The 17,160-nt window shown below is 47.3% G+C and overlaps 1 protein-coding gene across 5 annotated transcripts in view, besides 1 other annotated feature; it reads left to right on the top strand.

The window, feature by feature from the left end:
- Positions 1–85: 85 nt before the first annotated feature.
- Positions 86–17,160, top strand: part of VSTM4 (V-set and transmembrane domain containing 4) — a 101,287-nt gene continuing 84,212 nt past the window's right edge. For 4 of the 5 annotated variants that reach the window (XR_001747052.3, NM_001031746.5, XM_047424711.1 and 1 more), the window contains exons 1-2: positions 86–177; positions 7,613–8,014. Coding sequence is in view for 4 of the 5 variants with exons in the window: in NM_001031746.5 (NP_001026916.2) it covers positions 123–177; positions 7,613–8,014 (457 nt within the window). In the remaining variant the exon portion in view is untranslated. Of the gene's footprint in view, positions 178–7,612; positions 8,015–11,747; positions 13,437–17,160 lie in introns of those variants that run through there. The other variant, NM_144984.4, reaches the window with a different exon arrangement.
- Positions 6,102–7,080: an enhancer, noted in NCBI's record as "H3K4me1 hESC enhancer chr10:50316573-50317551 (GRCh37/hg19 assembly coordinates)". NCBI's record gives its function as "activates a minimal SCP1, AML or CMV promoter by ChIP-STARR-seq in primed H9 embryonic stem cells {active_cell/tissue: H9 hESC(primed)}" and the evidence as "EXISTENCE:reporter gene assay evidence [ECO:0000049][PMID:30033119]".

Genomic DNA, 17,160 nt, shown 5'->3' with positions numbered 1-17,160 from the left:
GTGGCAGGCGGCCCAAGGGGCGGGCCGGGGGCGGGCGCGAGCGCGGGCCCGGGGCGGGCTGGCGGCGGCCGGGCCAGGCGGCGGCGCTCTCCCGCGTCACAGCGCCGGGCGGCGGCGGGGAGATGCGGCTGCTGGCACTGGCGGCGGCCGCGCTGCTGGCGCGGGCTCCGGCTCCGGGTAAGCGCGGCGGGGCCAGGCGGGAGCGGGAAGGGTGGGGGCCGGGCGGCCGCGCCGGGGAGGCCGGGGCTCCGGGCCTGGTGGGGAGGCCCTGCCACCTCCGGGCGCGGGCGGGGGGCGGCGCTGTCACTGTCGCCAGCGCGCTCCGGTGGGCTCGCCGAGGGTCTGGCGGGCGCAGCGGCGCCTCCCCAAGGTTCAGAGGACGCCTCCCGTGAGCGCGGTCCCCGTCCCGACCTCGCCTGGGGCTGGGTACTCTCGCAGCAGCCGAGATCTTCCCAGCGGCAGGCCCCGAGGGGAGATGCAGCAGGAGCGCAGCCCAAGTTGGTGGTTCGCTTTCCTTTTTTCCACGGCAGTCAGGACACACAGCTCTTGGCAGATTCCTCGGAGCAGCAACTTCCCTTTCACTCTCTTCGGAGAGTTACTCCGAAGACAAGTCAGGAGCGGCTGGATCTGCCTTGGCCAGGAGGTGGGGAACGGGGACTTGATCGTGGGCCTTTTGAGGTGACCAGGCCTGGTGAGAGGGGCATCCACGGCTGGATGCAGCGACGCCTCTCCACCAGCACCCTGCTTTGAGGACAACTTCTTGGTCCACACTAATGGCTTTCATTCGGGTTTTACTGCTCCCACTTGTAAGTGTCTTAAGAATTTTCCCTCTTTATTCCCCAGAACTCTGTCTGGCTGCCTCAGGGCAGCAGGGGCCGTACTGGCTGGAATAATAGTAATAATACAGGTATCGATGGTCACTTTCCCTGGGTGCCTATCTGGGCCTATCTCATTTAATTACAACACTTCCAAGTAATAATGACTACAACACGTTTATATATCCAAGTATTAAAAAAAAAAAACATGAACTTGGTTAATCTCACCAATAACCTCTGAAGGAGGTGCTATTATTATCCCTATTTTATAGATGAGGAAACTGAGGCTCAGGCCCATGAACGGACTTGCCTTAATTCAGTAGGCTTGTAAGTGGTGGAGCTGGGATTTGAACCCAGTTAGCCTGGCTCTGGGCTCTGTCAATAACCACTAAACTGTGTTGCCATTGTTTTGAAAATTAGGAAACTGATGCTCAGAAGTCATTTTCCAAGAGTGATCTGGCTACCAAGTGTAGAGCTGGCATTTGAGCCAGCATTAATCCATAGATCCCAGTCTGAGGAGGAGGCACTTGGATAACAGTGGGAAGAAATCCATCTACTGTCCCCCAGCTATGAGTGCAGCCAGGTTCCCAGTGAACCTGAAATCCTTGCTGCGGGAAATGTACCTTTTCCCAGTTGTCACTGTCTCGGCTGGAAAAATGATGAGAAGTTTGCCTTGGACTGGTGGGCAGGGCCAGTTCTCGTGGTCTCTGTGGAGTAGCCAGCAGCCAGTGGTCCTTCCTCTCCCAGGCTCCATGACCACCTTCTAATTGCAGGAGCTGTCAGAGTGGGTGTCCCAGAGATTGTCTTTTGCTGGGGATCAAGGGCATTCTCACATTTCCAGAGCCCTCGGGAGCCTTGAGAGCTGGAATTCAGGAGCCTTTAGAGTCTGCCCTGGCTGTGCCCATGGTCAGCCCTGGAGGATGATAAGAGCTCCTGCTTGTGGGACACTCACTGTGTGCCACCCACTTTTCTAAGTGCCTCATTCATGACTCCTCACCACGATCCTGCTGGGAGGGGCTGGCAGACCCATTTTATACATAAGTACAGCTTCTTAACTGCTGTACTTTTCTGCCTCTCCATTTTGGGACTGACCAGGACCCTAGTGGTCACCTGGTCCCATGTCTCATTTTACAGGAAAGAAAACTGACAGACAATATATTTACGATAGCAAATCTGTAGGCTTGAGAGGTGGCTGAGCTGTCTTTGAAGCAAGATGGCCTAGGTTCGAATTCCAGCTCTGCCACTTACTATGTGAGCTTGAACAAGGGCTTAGCCTCTCTGTACCTCAGTCCTCTTGTCTATAAAATGGGAATAAACAGAGTATCAGGATAAATTGAGAAAATACATCTAAAGGGCATAGAGTTTGTACCCGGCAGGTATTAGCCTCTATCATTGGGCAAGGTGATATTTTTATCCTGGATGGAGCTATTTTCAGGTGATAGGCTAATGTGAGTGAATCAGTCCATGGGCTAGGTCTGGCATCACCTCTGCTTAGTGCTCAGTAAATACTGGCTCCTGGTGCCAAAGACTGTTAAGTAATATAACTATTTCTTTCAGAGATTTAGCTGTATGAATTCAGACTATTCTTTTAATAAGAAAGCTCACTGCTGCTGATCAGTACTGACAGTTTGCATTCCTTATAAACTTAGAGGCTCTGGTCTCCCTGAAGTGAGCAGGTGCAGTTTCTTCAGGCAGAGAGGAAGTGGGAGGCACACAGCTACGAGCACATCCCTGGCCTGCTCAGAACCGAGGGACTGTGCCCACCTCTGCATCCCAGATGAGGCTGCTGCCTTGTTCTGTTAGTTGTCCTTACTCCCTCACCTGGAAGTGGCCATCTCCCACTTCACAATGAGTAGGTTGTTCTATTCAGCTACAACGGTGTCCTAGGCTGTTTTCAGAGTGGTGTTAGTCCTTTTCATGACATTATTCAAATATAAGCAAGGGGGTTAGACACCTTAACTTTTATCCACAGGAATTTGAGATTCGTCTACAAACATAACCAGCTACATCGCTTGTGGGATCCAGTGTCAAATGAAAATGTGGGCCTCCTTGTTAAAATGTATTAAAATTTCAAGATAGCAACAGCAGAGATTAAACCATGTTGGGGTGTGAGGACTTCCAACCATGGGGTCCTGTGTGCCTGCAGGTCGTGGGCCCACGAAGCCCACTGTACTCACAGGACAGTGTGCATGTCACTTTCTATTGCTCCCACCTCCCCAGTCTCAGGGCATGCAAACTCTATCTGTATTTTAAGGGTGCTTTTGCATTGGAGCCTATGCTTACTGTGAAAGGCATCCTTTTCCCATTTTTCGGATGAGGAAACTGAAACTCCAGGAGGCTCACACCTAACAGAATCAGGTTTCCGGCCTGGTTCTGTCAGATGCCAGCCCCTGGCTCTCTACCCAGCCCCACCAAGCCACTGCTTCTGTGTCTCATCGTTTCTCTGCAACTACCAGAGAAGGCCTGGGACCATAAACATCCAGTGCTTAGCCCATGTGGTGCCCAGGACTACCAAGTCCCAGAGCATGTGCTTGTTGGAGACTGGGATTTGCTGCAGCAGGAATCCTGTCCCTCTGTTTGTATCAGTCTCTTCCCTATCAGTTTTGTTATATTCCTCCTTCAAAAAGTGGCCTTGGGGAACCTGACTGGGGTAGGGAATGCCTTCTGAGGATCATGTGTTGGCAAGGGTGGCTGTTGGGCCACAGTGGGGTACAGTTCACCAGGATGAACTGACCTTTCCATTTCCAGCCTGTACAGGGTCCCTCTTGCCTCACAACATTTGCAGAGGTGGGGCTCCCTCCTTGGAAATCATTCCTTGTTGCTGCCTTGAACTTTATTTCATTAGCTGCAAGTGAGTCTTTAGCTCAAGCTCACATCCCCAGAGTCCCTTCCCCTGACCCCGAAGTCTAGATCAGGATCTTGCCATGATTTTCTTAAACCCTGCACTTTTCTCTGTGGCATGTGACACTGTAGTTATATTCTCCCATGTCTTTTCCCCAATGAGTGGCTGCCTTACCCACTGGACTGTCCACTGCACAAGGTCAGGAATGTTGTTTTCTTCTTCACAACATGCCTGCTGCATGAGGCTTAAGCTGGAGGAAGCAGGAACTGTGAGTGGAGAGGTACAACGGGGAGGGGGACGATGCGTCTCCCTCCCACCTCAATTCTCCGCAACACAGGGTCACAAAACAAGAAATTAATTTCTTCTTCGGGCCTGAGTGACTTTGGCAATCCTTCCTAGGCCAGGAGAGGGAGGATCTGCCCTGCCTGGCTGCTCCATCATCTACCTGGTGGAGGAGGGGGCGAGTGACACCATCAGGTCCTGCCCCTCTGACAAGCTGGGCATGCATGGACTGTCATTCAGACTGAGATCCAGAGGGAAGAGCCTGGGCTCCCGGGGGCCCTGTACACTGTCTCCTGCCTCTGGACACTGCTGCACCTGCTTCCCCTCGTCCTGTCCTCTGATTGCCATTGGTGTTCCCTCTGCTGAGCCCTATGGTCCTGATGACTGCGGGGGAAGATAACGGACTACCTCTCTCTTAGTATTGAAATAAACACCCAACTGGCTCACATTTGCCAGCCCCTGGGTGCCCTAACTGCATTCCCTCTCCTCCCTCCTGCTTTGCCCCATCTCACAGTTGCCTGGATACATGTGCCACCTTTGCTGGGTTTAAGGCAGGGCTGGGGAAGAGAAGAATGTTACTCAAGGCACCCAGCTTTGCTGAGAAGGCTTGTCACAGGCACAGGGACCCCACAACCTGAATAGCTTGTGTCCTCCAGCAAAGCTTTCAGACTTGGCGGGGGCCTGTGGCCATCAGAGTTCTAACCACACCACCCACCTCCTGGTGCTGAAGGTGCAGGTAGAGGGCTGGAATGAAGCTTGCTGTGAACAGGGCTGGATTAGTGTGCTTACGCTGTCATAACAGAGTACCATAGGCTGGGGTACTTACACAACAGAAACATCACATTTTGGAGTCTGGAAATCCAATCAAGGTGCTGGCAGGGTTGGTTTCTCCTGAGGCCTCTCTCCTTGGCTTGGAGATGCCACCTTCTCCCTGTGTCTTCACAGGGTCTTCCCTCTGTGGTGTTTGTGTTCTTATCTCCTCTTCTTATAAAGACCATTGATACTAGATTAGGGCCCAGCTTAATGACTTTATTTTAATTTAATTACTCCTTTAAAGACCCTATCTGCAAATACAGTCCCATTCTTAGGTCCTGGGGCTAACGCTTCAACATATGAATTTTGGGAGGACACAATTCAACCCATAACAAAGGTCTTTGCACTTTGGTAGAAGAAACAGAAGTTTGTGCCATTTGTAAGAGAATATGGGGCAAAATGAAGGCAGGGAGGTGCGCCTATAAAAAGAGGGTTCATCCTGGAAGGCTAGAGAATAGTCCTTTCCCTTTCCTGGGATCCCCTGACCCTGTCCTGAGCCACAGAAGTGGAAGGGTTACTAGCTTGCCTCCAGGAAGAAATCTGGCCTCCCATGGGGACTGGAGCACTTGGCACATCCTTCTGGTTTCAGTCACTATAAATAATCCCTCTTCCATGTAGCATTAATAGGAGGAGCCTGGGGCGTGGGGTCCCGGCTGCACTCTCATCCCACCCATCTTGTTTCAATTTCCTGCCTTCCTCAGCTCTCCTGGCCTCCACTGGGAAGCTCTTGAGGGCGGGGTGGGGCTGGACTTCAGTTCTGGAAGCCAGCTGCTGCATCGTTGCTGCTCTCTGTGGCTGCCCAACCCCAGCAGCTGTTGGAGCTGGGTCAGCCAGTGTCCCCCAGCTGCTGCATTCCTCACCAGGGAGCTCCTGCCGTGGGAGCTGTGTGGACTTCACACAGGGCTTCAGCAGTGAGGAAGAAATGTCTTCTGACTAATTTAACATGGCCCATGGGCCAGGTGCCTGCCAGGTGGGCGAGATGCAGGGGGAATTGTGGGGCCAATTCCTCTTCATTTGCCTTGCAGGAGGGGCTTCTGATGACAGCGGGATTGCTACCAGAGTGGGTCCCTCCTTTGGCTACACATTAGTCTGCAGCCCTAAGTATCTCCCGCATCACTGTAGGCATAGAAGACCTCATACCCATCCAGCGGAGAGTCCAGCTGAGCCTTAACCCTTTTTCTTCTGAGCTCACTTCCATATATATCAAAGACTTTGGTGTTTTAATCCCTGGGGACCTGTGAATGGAACGTTATATGACAAAAGGGACTTTATGGGTGTGATGAAGTCAAGGCTCATGGAATTACCCTTGAATATCCTGTGGGCTAGTGCTTGTCTTCTGAGAGATGAGAAAGAAAATTAAGGAAAAATGATCCTGAAATCATCTGTCTTGAGGTGTTCAGTTATTAAATCAATAGTGGAAACTGTATAGGAGGAAGACCTGTTGCCTGGATTTTTACAATGAAGAATAGTTTGTATCTACCATCCCTCCCCCAGCCCACCGCAGGGCCGCCTGCTTGCTGCTCCACAGCCTCCTTGTCAAATGTTCAGATCTTGCTTGATCTGTTTTTCCACTTTCCTCCTTGCTTCCCTGCAGCACTGCCCAGGGGTCAAAGGTTTTGGTGGCTGTGACATCTGGGGCCCAAGCCCTCTTCTGTTACCAGATGGTGGCATTTTGGGACTGAAAGCTGTGCTTTGGGATGACCATGGGGACACCTGCTTGTGTGGGGGGGTGGAGGCGAATGGCTTCCTGGAGTGATACATGGGGCAGTACAGGGGTGGGGACATGGAACCTGGTGAGAAGACAGCCCTGACTTGGCAGAAAGAGGTTCCAGGCATCCTGTGCAAAGCATCTTTTCTCGGGCCCTGCCTGCCAGAGGGCTGTGCTGTGAGCACCGGGCAGCCTGGTCGCACTGGGCAGTCCAGGGTACACCATGAATCGTGGCTCCTGGGAGAAGACTTCAGCAGTCGGCCTCTCTGAGGTCTACTGGTCTGGGTGGTGGAGTGGGCGCTGGGGTGGCTCCATCACAGGTCAGCTCAGGGGCAGAACAGTGGCTGGGAGTGGGCAGCCCTCGGGCTGGTTTTAACTAAGGAACCAAAGGACAGGAAGTTGTGGATGGGGCCTGGAATTCCAAAGTGTCTTTTGGGTTGTTGGGAGAGTCTCTCATCCCTCCTCTTCCTGGGGTTTAATCATTCTTTATTCTTGCTCTTCAACTCTGAGACGATGGATCCTACAAATAGGAAACCAAGCAACCCCTGTTGTCCCAGCTCACATCCGACCTTACTACTCATCTGCCCTGGGTACAGTTGAAATAGCGGAGTCAGGGAAAGGGGCCCAGCTTCCTGGTGGACAGGCCACCAGAGAGAGGGCCCTACCCTGCCCTGCTCCAGGGCGGCTCCCCACCCACAGCACAGCTGACATCAGGCCAGGGACAAAACTGATAAAAGTAGGCCTTGGGGAGGGGCAGGGGCCAGGTGGTGAGGTGTGGGGAGTGGTGGGGGGTTGGATGTGGGCTAGACATTTTTAAGAAATTCCAAAAATCTAAATCTTTTACATGAAATTTGAATTTTAAACGTCAGCAACTAATTACAAAATTTTGAAAAATACTTCTGGGTCAGGAGGTCATTGTTTAGCATCCCACATGGACAGGGTGGTCCCATAGATGAGACAGTGGGGGCCCACAGAGGCTCACCCCCAGAAGAACCCCTCCTCTGGAGAGGTGAGGGGCCGCCTGCTTCTCTGGCCAGGCAGAGCACTAGGATGCCCAGTGCGTGGAGGCATTTCCTGGCTCCTCGACTGTGGACTGCCCACAGGGGGACTTGGGGCCCTCCTCATCCTCTCTTCTCCCCTTTTTCTCTGCAGAGGTCTGTGCGGCCCTCAATGTCACTGTGTCCCCGGGGCCCGTGGTTGACTACCTGGAGGGGGAGAATGCCACTCTCCTCTGCCACGTCTCCCAGAAAAGGCGGAAGGACAGCTTGCTGGCCGTGCGCTGGTTCTTTGCACACTCCTTCGACTCCCAGGAGGCCTTGATGGTGAAGATGACCAAGCTCCGGGTGGTGCAGTACTATGGGAATTTCAGCCGCAGCGCCAAACGGCGGAGGCTGCGCCTGCTGGAGGAGCAGCGGGGGGCGCTCTACAGGCTCTCCGTCTTGACACTGCAGCCCTCCGATCAAGGGCATTACGTCTGCAGAGTCCAGGAAATCAGCAGGCACAGGAACAAGTGGACGGCCTGGTCCAATGGCTCCTCAGCCACGGAAATGAGAGGTGAGGGTCTTGGTCTCCCTGGGTAGAGGTGGTGGTGGGGCAGGCCAGTAGGCCCCCCTTTGCAGCCACCACCCAGGGGCTCCCGGGTTGGCTGTGTTGCACTAGAACATATCTTGTGGGCCTCTGTTGGTCACAGACATGAGTCATGCCATGGGGTGAGGGTAGATCTTTACCTGGACACTGGCTAATGTGCTGTGTAGACACAGAAGTGAGAACAGAAAGGACCAAGTGCCTGCCCCAACATGGCCCAGCCCAATCTCTGGGCAAAGCCTCTTATGTGTCTGAAGTTGGACTGCTGTGTGCTGTCAAAGGTAAACAAAGCTGGACCCTGGTCAAAGGGGTCAGGGCAGATTTTATTCAGCAGTAGCTATTGCAGTAGAGAAGAGAGCCTGGCATGAACTGGACTCAACTCTGATTTGTGCAGACATGACTGGTTGTTTTAAAAGGAGAATGAGTGAGTGGGGGTGAGTGGGGACTCAGTAGAGTCAAAGAAGTGTGAAAATTGCAAAAAGCAGTAGGGAGAGGTTTGGCTTATGTGGAGCCATCTGGGTTTGCTAAGATGCTTATCGAAGTTTGAAGTTTGGTTTCTACCTTCCCACAGAGATGGGGAGATGGGGGTTTTGTCTTCAGGTGTTGGCTGGAACAAGCAGTAAATGCTTTTGGCAGCCTTGAGTTTTCTCAGGCAGGCACTTTCAGGAGGTCATCGTAGGCATAGGCATGTGGCCTTGAGCCATTAGAAACTATGTTAGTGTTTGTTGGAGTCTTTAGGCCAAGACTGAGGCTTAGTCGAGAAGGGGCTCTGAGGAGCCCGGCTGGAGTTTGGCTAAGGAGAGCATGTTTGTCAGTGCTCAGCCTCCCACCCAGGTCTGTGCAGGCTTGATGGCTTTGGCTGGGGGGTGCCGGGCACCCATGGAGGAGGCACGCGTTGGGAGGTTTTGCTGTGAGTCGTCAGGCCTGGGAGCAGGGCAGGCTGGTTGCCCAGTGGAACTGATCCAAACTTAGGCAACAGCTCGCCAAGAAATTCATGAGGAAGTGGGCAGAGGACCAGGGGTAGCCCTCCCTTCCTGAAGACAGATAGGAGGGATGGACAGCATTTCTGCAACATCTCAGCTACCAAGTGCCATATTTTGGGGTTGTCATTTTTTTATCACCAATGTTTCTATTCGGGAAGACACCTCTCACAATTTTAGTAAGACTTCCTATTATGCACTAAATTTTGCCTTTGATTGCTTTGAAATTGAATTTAGTTTGGCACAAGATCAAGAGGATCACAAAGTACAGCTGATAGTCTCAAATACAAAAAAGGGTCTAATTTTATTGTACACATATAACAAAATACTCAAGTCCTTAGTGATGTTGTTTTGACAAGCCTTTTTAAAGGACAAAACTTAGTTGTGAAAAGTATTTTTAATGTCCTATATGAATAAGGGACATAGAGTAAAATAATTTATATACAGAGTCTTTACAGTAGTTCAATTTTACTTGTCTTTGGAGTTTGCTTGTTGTAATGTTTATAAGTACAGAATGAGGTATTAAATAGAATGTGCAATTTTTCTCCTTAAGCAAATTAATTCAAGAAAACCAATGACTATTGGCTTATTATTTTCACATAGAAAACAAGACATCAGATCATCAAGGGCTGGGCCAAGAACCCACTGCAAATACCACTTGGCTGTGAAACACAAGATCTTTTATATATACAAGATATATACATACATATATATATACACACAAGATATATATATATATATACACACACACATATGATACGTGTGTATGTGTGAATTGTGTTGTTTTTGGTGTTTGTGTCACAGTGTATTCTGGAGTCACAGACGAAATATCTTGGCAGTGATGACATTCTGCCAAATAAAGCATATAAAAGCTTTGCTACCTTCAAGTAAGCAGAGTCATTTAGCTTGTTGGTTAACGTGAATCTCATTTCAGTGAGTGAAGCTGGGTTCAGTCTAGAACATTTGTTTGGGAACTTGCTCCAAAAACATGAGGTAGTTTTTAACACCTCACTGGAAATAAGAATCTTTCCCCACTTCTTCTCTTGCTCCCCCACTTTCCTGCCCTGGTCCTCTGGTTTCTCTTCCTTCCCCTCCTCAGCTCCCCTTCCCTTCACTCCCCGCCTCTTTTCTTCTTCGTCTTTCCTCTCTCTCTGTCTGTCACTCTTTCTCTCTCTGCCTCTCCCTCTTTCTCTCTCTTTCTGTCTCTCTCTCTCTCTGTCTCTTGGTATATCTCTCTCTGTCTCTCCCCCCCCCGTCTCTCTCTCTTTCTCTGTCTCTTCCTCCCTCTGTGTCTCTTCGTCTCTCTCTGTCTCTCTGTTTCTGGCTTTCTATCTCTTTCCCTCTCTGTCTCTCTCTCTCTCTCTCTCTCTGTCTCTCTGTCTCTCCCTCTCTCTCTCTGTCTCTTTCTCCTTCTGTCTCTCTCTTTGTCTTTTGGTCTCTCTCTGTCTCTCTCTGTCTTTCCATCTCTCTCTGTCTCTCTCTCCCTCTGTGTCTGTCTCTCTCTGTGTCTCTGTCTCTCCCTCTCTCTCTGTCTCCCTCTGTCTCTCTGGTCTCTCTCCCTCTGTATCTCTCTGTCTCTCTCTCTGTCTCTCTGTGTCTCTGTCTCCCTCTGTGTCTCTCTGTCTCTCTCCCTCTGTGTCTTTCTCTCACTGTTTCTCTGTCTTTCCTTCTCTCTCTCTCTGTGTCTCTCTCTCTCTTTGTATCTCTGTCTCTTTCTCTCTCCGTGTGTGTCTCTGTCCCTCTCTCTCTCTCTGTGTCTCTCTCCCTCTGTATCTCTCTATCTCTCTGTGTGTCTCTCTCTCTGTATCTCTCTATCTCTCTGTGTCTCTCCACTTCTCTCGCCCACTCCCCTCTGACCTCTCACCCAGAAGTGGTTCTACCCTCTCAGCGGAGCTCAGCCTCCCTTGCCATGTCTGCTCCATCTCAGCTCCTGGGCAGGGCCATGATTTGCTGATGGAAAGATTCAAAACCTTAGGAAGCAATGACCATATCTTCTAGAACATTCTATTTAGGCTTCCAGGGGACTGTTCCAAGGCAGTTAAGGAAAAGCAACCCCAAGCAAATGGCCTGAAACCAGGCAGGCTGTTTGGGTTGGAGCTTGTCCGCCCCAGGCTGGGGCTGTGCAGAGCCTTGGCTGCCTGTTCTTCCTGGGCAGGGCCAGGAGAGGCGCATGGCTGCAGCCTCCCAGAGCACCTTTCCCGGTGTCCTGGGCCTTGCTCCTCTCCAACGGCCTTATTTTCCTAAATTTCCACCTCATGTTCATAGTTGTTGTTGTTGTTTTTGAGACAGAGTCTCCTTGCTCTGTCTCCCAGGCTGGAGTGCAGTGGTGTGATCTTGGCTCACTGCAGCCTTTGCCTCCTGGGTTCAAGCAATTCTCCTGTCTCAGTCTCCTGAGTAGCTGGGATTACAGCTATGCGCCACCACACCCAGCTCATTTTTGTATTTTTAGTAGAGGTAGGGTTTCTCCATGTTGGCCAGGCTGGTCTTGAACTTGTGACCTCAGGTGATCCACCCACCTCGGCCTCCCAAAGTGCTGAGATTACAGGTGTGAGCCACCTTAAATGGAAAACAAAAACACAGAACAACAAGGATGAGAAGTTCTGTGGTCCGTACCTTTGGGTTAGAATATCAAACAGGAGCTCTTGGGGGTTTGAGTGCCCCCCACCCCAGGCCCGTGGTCTCTCTTGTCTAACCTGCTCATGTCACCTCCCTCCTTTCAACAGGAGTCTCCAGCCATCCAGTGGAGAGGGGAGCTTTTCTTGGGATTTCCCTTGTAATACTACCTCACTCTTTGCCCTTCACCGCAGACTTAACCATGGCCTCCTTCCTGCAGAGTTCTTGATGTGAGATAAAATTGCTTGTCTTTCACTGGAAACTCCCAGAAAGAAAGGCTGGTGCCTGGTCTCTCCTCATTTCCCTGTCATGAACACCTCGCCCAGCACATGGAGGGTGACTTGCGATGATATATTTAAAAAATAACTCCCAGTTCTGAGAAGAGCCATAGGAGTGTTGGCTCTTATTATCTGTCCTGATTTCCATATGTTGGTTGTTTTCTATTGCAAAAGTAATATAGTGTAATATAGTTCAATTATAGAAAACATGGAAAAATACTGAAAGGGTTTAAAGAAGAAAATAAAAATGACTTACCATATCTCTACTCAACTTAACATTTCAGTGCAAATCCTTCCTGTCATTTTATGCAAATTAAAATTTAAAACCTAATTTCAATCTTACTGTAAAGAGTGTTCTGTGACTCGCTTTTCTGATATTACTAAATAGTGTGCACATTTTCCCTTGTTAAATATGCCTCAAAAACATAATGTTAATGATGGAATAATGTTCCATCATGCAGGTGGACCTCAATTTAGCTTCCTGCTTATTGTTACTGGACATTTGAAGCTGCTGTAAATCTTTGTCAATAAATCTCCATGAATATCCCTGACCTTAGCATAAAATCCTGGAAATAAGATTGCCGGGTCCAAAGATCTACCCAAATTAAAAATGGACACAATTTCAAGAAGTGAATTGACCTCTAAAATAGTTTACAAATTTATATTACCACCAGCATTGAAAATGCCTTTTCCCCACGGATTGGTCTACATAAGAGTGTTGGTTAATTTTATGTGTTGACTTGACTAGGCTAAACGATGCCCAGATAGCAGGTAAAACATTATTTCTGGGTGTGTTCGTTCTGTTTCTCTGGGATCCCAGACTAACACAATCATATACTTTTTGAGGATGATGATGATAACAATGAATGCCTGCAACAGTGCCTGGTACACAGTTGATCCTCAATAGATACTTGATGAATGAATAAAATGTTCTTTGTCAAGTGTCATTAGCAACTGTTGCTGTGGATGACTTTGAAGTAGGCGTGACTTGGTGGATGTAGTCACCCTCTCTGGGATGCCTTACCTCTCTTTCCCTTGACCTATTTCAATCATACATATTTTTTGGGGCTCCACATCCAGCTTTCATCTTCCATCAATGCCTTCTTTGGGCATGCCAGCCCATGGAGTGCTCTCCCACTGGCAACATCTTGTAGCTTCTGTTTTTAGCACTGTAGACACAACATTATGTGGTCATGCCGTTGTTTTTCAAGCTGCTGTGGCACAGTGATGATGTCAAAAATATTATACATAAAAGAGTTGGCCAGGCATGGTGGCTTACGCCTGTAATCCCAGCACTTTGGGAGGCCGAGGTGGGTGGATCACGAAGTCAAGAGTTCAAGACCAGCCTGGCCAACATGGTGAAACCCCATCTCTACAAAAATACAAAAATTAGCCAGGTGTGGTGGTGTGCACCTGTAATCCCAGCTACTCGGGAGGCTGAGATGAAGAATTGCTTAAACCCAGGAGGCAAAGGCTGCAGTGAGCCAAGATCCCGCCACTGCACTCCAGCACTCCGCTCTCAAAAAAAAAAACAAAAAACAAAAAAGAGTCAAACAATGCAAAAACTAAAATGCGCAAATATCTTTCTCCTACCCACTACCTAATATCCCCAGTTCCACTCCCATCCCCAGAGATAATCATTGTCAATAATTTGGTTTAGATCTTTCAAATCTCTTTCCTATTGACATTCATACACACACACAAACACACACACACACACGCAGACACACATGTATTTTAACAATAGTGCATGTATTGCTTTATAAGTTGTTGGTGATATTACATGTATTCTTTTGTAACTGGTATTATATAGTGAGATAATACCAAACTGTATCCAATCATTCCCGCAGTGATAGACACTTAGGAATCTTCCAGTGTTTCACCAACATAAACAGTGCTTCAGTGAAATCCTTGTACATCTTTCCAAGTGTATCTGTTAGTTAGATTCCTGGAAAGGGAATTGCTGGGCCTAAGGCTAAGCATATTTAAAATTTTTGTAGACAATGCCAAAATGCTATCACTGAAAAGACTTTACAAATTTATACTCTGACCATCATTGCATGATATTTCCCTGAAGCCTCTTTAACAATCAATATTATTAATCTTTTCCATTATTTATCACAATTGGAAAAATATTTCATTGTTTTAATTTCGATTATTATATTCAATACAATACAGTGCAATTTAATTTCTGTTTTTGTATTCAATTATTAGCAAGGTTGAACATTGTTATTCATGGTTCATTTATTTATTCTGTGAATTTCCTGGCCATAACCTTAATAAATGGGTTGCTGTCTTTTTTATATATGTGTACGTGTGTGTGTAGATCTGATCATTAATTTTTTAGCTATTACATATGGTACAAAATTTTATTCCTGTTTGTTACTTTTCTTTCCACGTTGTTTATATTTTCTTTTACCGTATAGATATTTCACATTTCTGGATATTTATGTAGTCAAATTTGATATTTTTTCCTTTGTGGCATTCTTTTCTAGTGGAATTTTTTATTGAAATGTAATTTACATTCAATACATTGTACATGGTACCTTGGTTTTGTATCGAATCTTGGAAAGGATTCCCTGCCCCAAGCTTATAAAAGTGTTTTCCATATTTTTCTTTAATATTTTTAGATGATTAAAAGAAAGCTTTACTCCTTTATCTCTTTGGAATCTGTTTTTTTATATAAGGTATATAGTAGCTAATTTATTTTTTCTTTACAAAAGGCTAAAATGTTATCCCTACACTGTCTGTTGAAGAGGTATTTTTCTAGCTTGACATGTCACATTTTTCATAAGCTAAATCCCTATATTTAAATGAAAACTTTGTACACTTCACCAATATAGCACTATTCTAATTATTATAGAATAGGGCAAATATCCTCATTATTTTTTAAATTCTTAGCTATTCTTATACATTTAGTTTTTCTTTAAGATGCTCTTGAGGATCCACTTACCCAGTTTTGTAAAAATTACATTGGGGTTTGATTGGGATTTCATTGGCTTCTTAGGTTACTTTGTTATGGGCATATTCATCTTAGACATCTTTATGATTTTAAATGTTCCTATCCAGGAACTTGTTGTATTCCTTCATGTAGTCAGGGTTTTTTTTTTAAATGTCTTTCAGTACAATTTTTTTTCACATGACTCTCGAACATTTTTATTATATTTACTTCTAGGTATTTTATAATTGTAATTAGGATATACCATCTCCTGCTATGCAGACACATGTATGTGAAGATTTTAAATCGGTATTGCTGGTATATAGAAAGTTTGACTTTTGTTGAGTTATATTTGGCAACATAATGAGTTAACTTATTATTTCAGATGTGGTGTTTCTCAGTTGCATTTCAATAGTATCTATGAATTAGTATCTCATTATTTTTCTAACCATATTGCATTGGCCAGTACTACCTGTACCCTTTCTGTATGACACTACTGTGAGTTTTAACCTACTATTTCAGTTTTTATCTTGACCACATCTTCCATCTAGCCCATACAGCTACCCTTAGAGACTGTCAGTTATCTTATTAAAAGCCAGCTTTGAGGCAACCGTGGCTTTTTCATGATCCTTACTGGTTAACCTATCAAAAAAACAACTGGGATTGCCCTGATAATATCTCTTAGGCATCTTTCCTTTTCTTTTTCCTTTTCCTTCCTTTTTCTTTTTCTTTTTCCTTTTTCACGGAGTCTGGCTCTGTCTCCCAGACTGGAGTGCAGTGGCATGATCTTGGCTCACTGCAACTGCCTCCTCCTGGGTTCAAGCGATTCTCCTGCCTCAGCCTCTCAAGTAGCTGCGATTACAGGCACCAGCCACCACCCAGCTAATTTTTGTATTTTTAGTAGAGACAGGGTTTTGCTCTGTCTCTAGCACATGAAGAATGAAAGGGACAGAATCTCTGGAGAACAGTGGAGCCATGCCTGGCTTATTCACAGAATCTCATGCCAGATGAACTTGTTGATGTCGTTTTTATTACCCAATGGTAAAAGGAAAGGCAAAGAAAAAGACGCAGTTTCTCCAATTGCCTGTGCCATGTGATGATTTCACTGGGTGAGAAATCCTGCTTAGAGAGAAAATGGATTGAAAAGTCCTAAGTGACACATGGCATCGGAAACCCCTGGAGAGGTTTCTAGTGGAAATCATGAGGGTCAATGTTAGGTTTGATTTCCTTTGATTGTTTTATCAATAACATTGAAAAAGAAGCCCACATCACCCTAATGAACTTTCTAGAAAATGCAAAATTGGGAAATGTTCTTAACATCAGTGAGAAATCACACATGATAAAAATGATTCCAGAGCGGTAAGAAATATAGGCAGGAAATAACAAAATGAAATTCAATTTGAAAAACAGCACAGCAATACATGTGGGGAAAACAAATCTTAAGCATTGCTGGATGCTGCTGGGAGGCTCTCTCTGCGAAAGGATTCGGAGTGATAATAGCAGCGAATCAGCCGTGCATTTGCAACGTGAGACTGCATCTCAACAGCTGGTGTTGTTTCCATCCACATACAAATCGACCTGGAGCCCCTGAGAAGGAGGTGATTGTGTCGTAGGTACTACACTGGTGAGACCCTAACTGGGACTACACAGTCAGCTTTGGGAACTTCATTTCCAGACAGACAGATTTAAGCTAGAGAAGAGAGGCAAATGTGATGAGGAAATGAGCAACCGCCTTCAGAGACAGGATCCATTCTATTGAGGAAGGTTTGCTCGGCTCAGTGAAGAAATAGCACCAGAAAATAGTATTGATGATGTCCATCAGCGCTAGGTAAATTCATTTATCCCTTCACTCAGTGTGCATGTTATCAAACACCTACTGCGTGCCAGGCTGTTGCAATAATGGAGACCCAGAAACACATGGGTGGATCTGCCTATGGGGTGGCAGACACACAAACACATGGGGTTTTGCAGTGTGAGTGCAGGGGACAGGATGCACACAGGGCACTGTGGGAACACACCGCAGGGTCCCTTAAGAGCTGAGGGAGAGGGCAATGTTGGAGATGTCCTTGGTGGTTTATGTGGGGGCGGCATGGATGTCCAGAGGGACAGGCACTGCAGCTCATGCCAGGGCTTTGGGGACTCTGCATTAGGCCTGGAAGCTTACAAAGCATTCTAAGCCTTTTGAATGTTGGCTCCCTGGAGCATGGATCTGGGGGGAATCAGATTAGAGGAGGAGGAAGTGGGGTCTTTTGTAGTTGCACGAGCTTGAAATGATGGAGGACTAACTTTGGCAGTAGGAATGGGGAG

Source organism: Homo sapiens, chromosome 10 (genome assembly GCF_000001405.40).
Source record: "Homo sapiens chromosome 10, GRCh38.p14 Primary Assembly".
Lineage (NCBI taxonomy): Eukaryota > Metazoa > Chordata > Mammalia > Primates > Hominidae > Homo > Homo sapiens.
The sequence above is the reverse complement of the archived record's forward strand: the minus strand, read 5'-3'. Positions and strand labels throughout refer to the sequence as shown.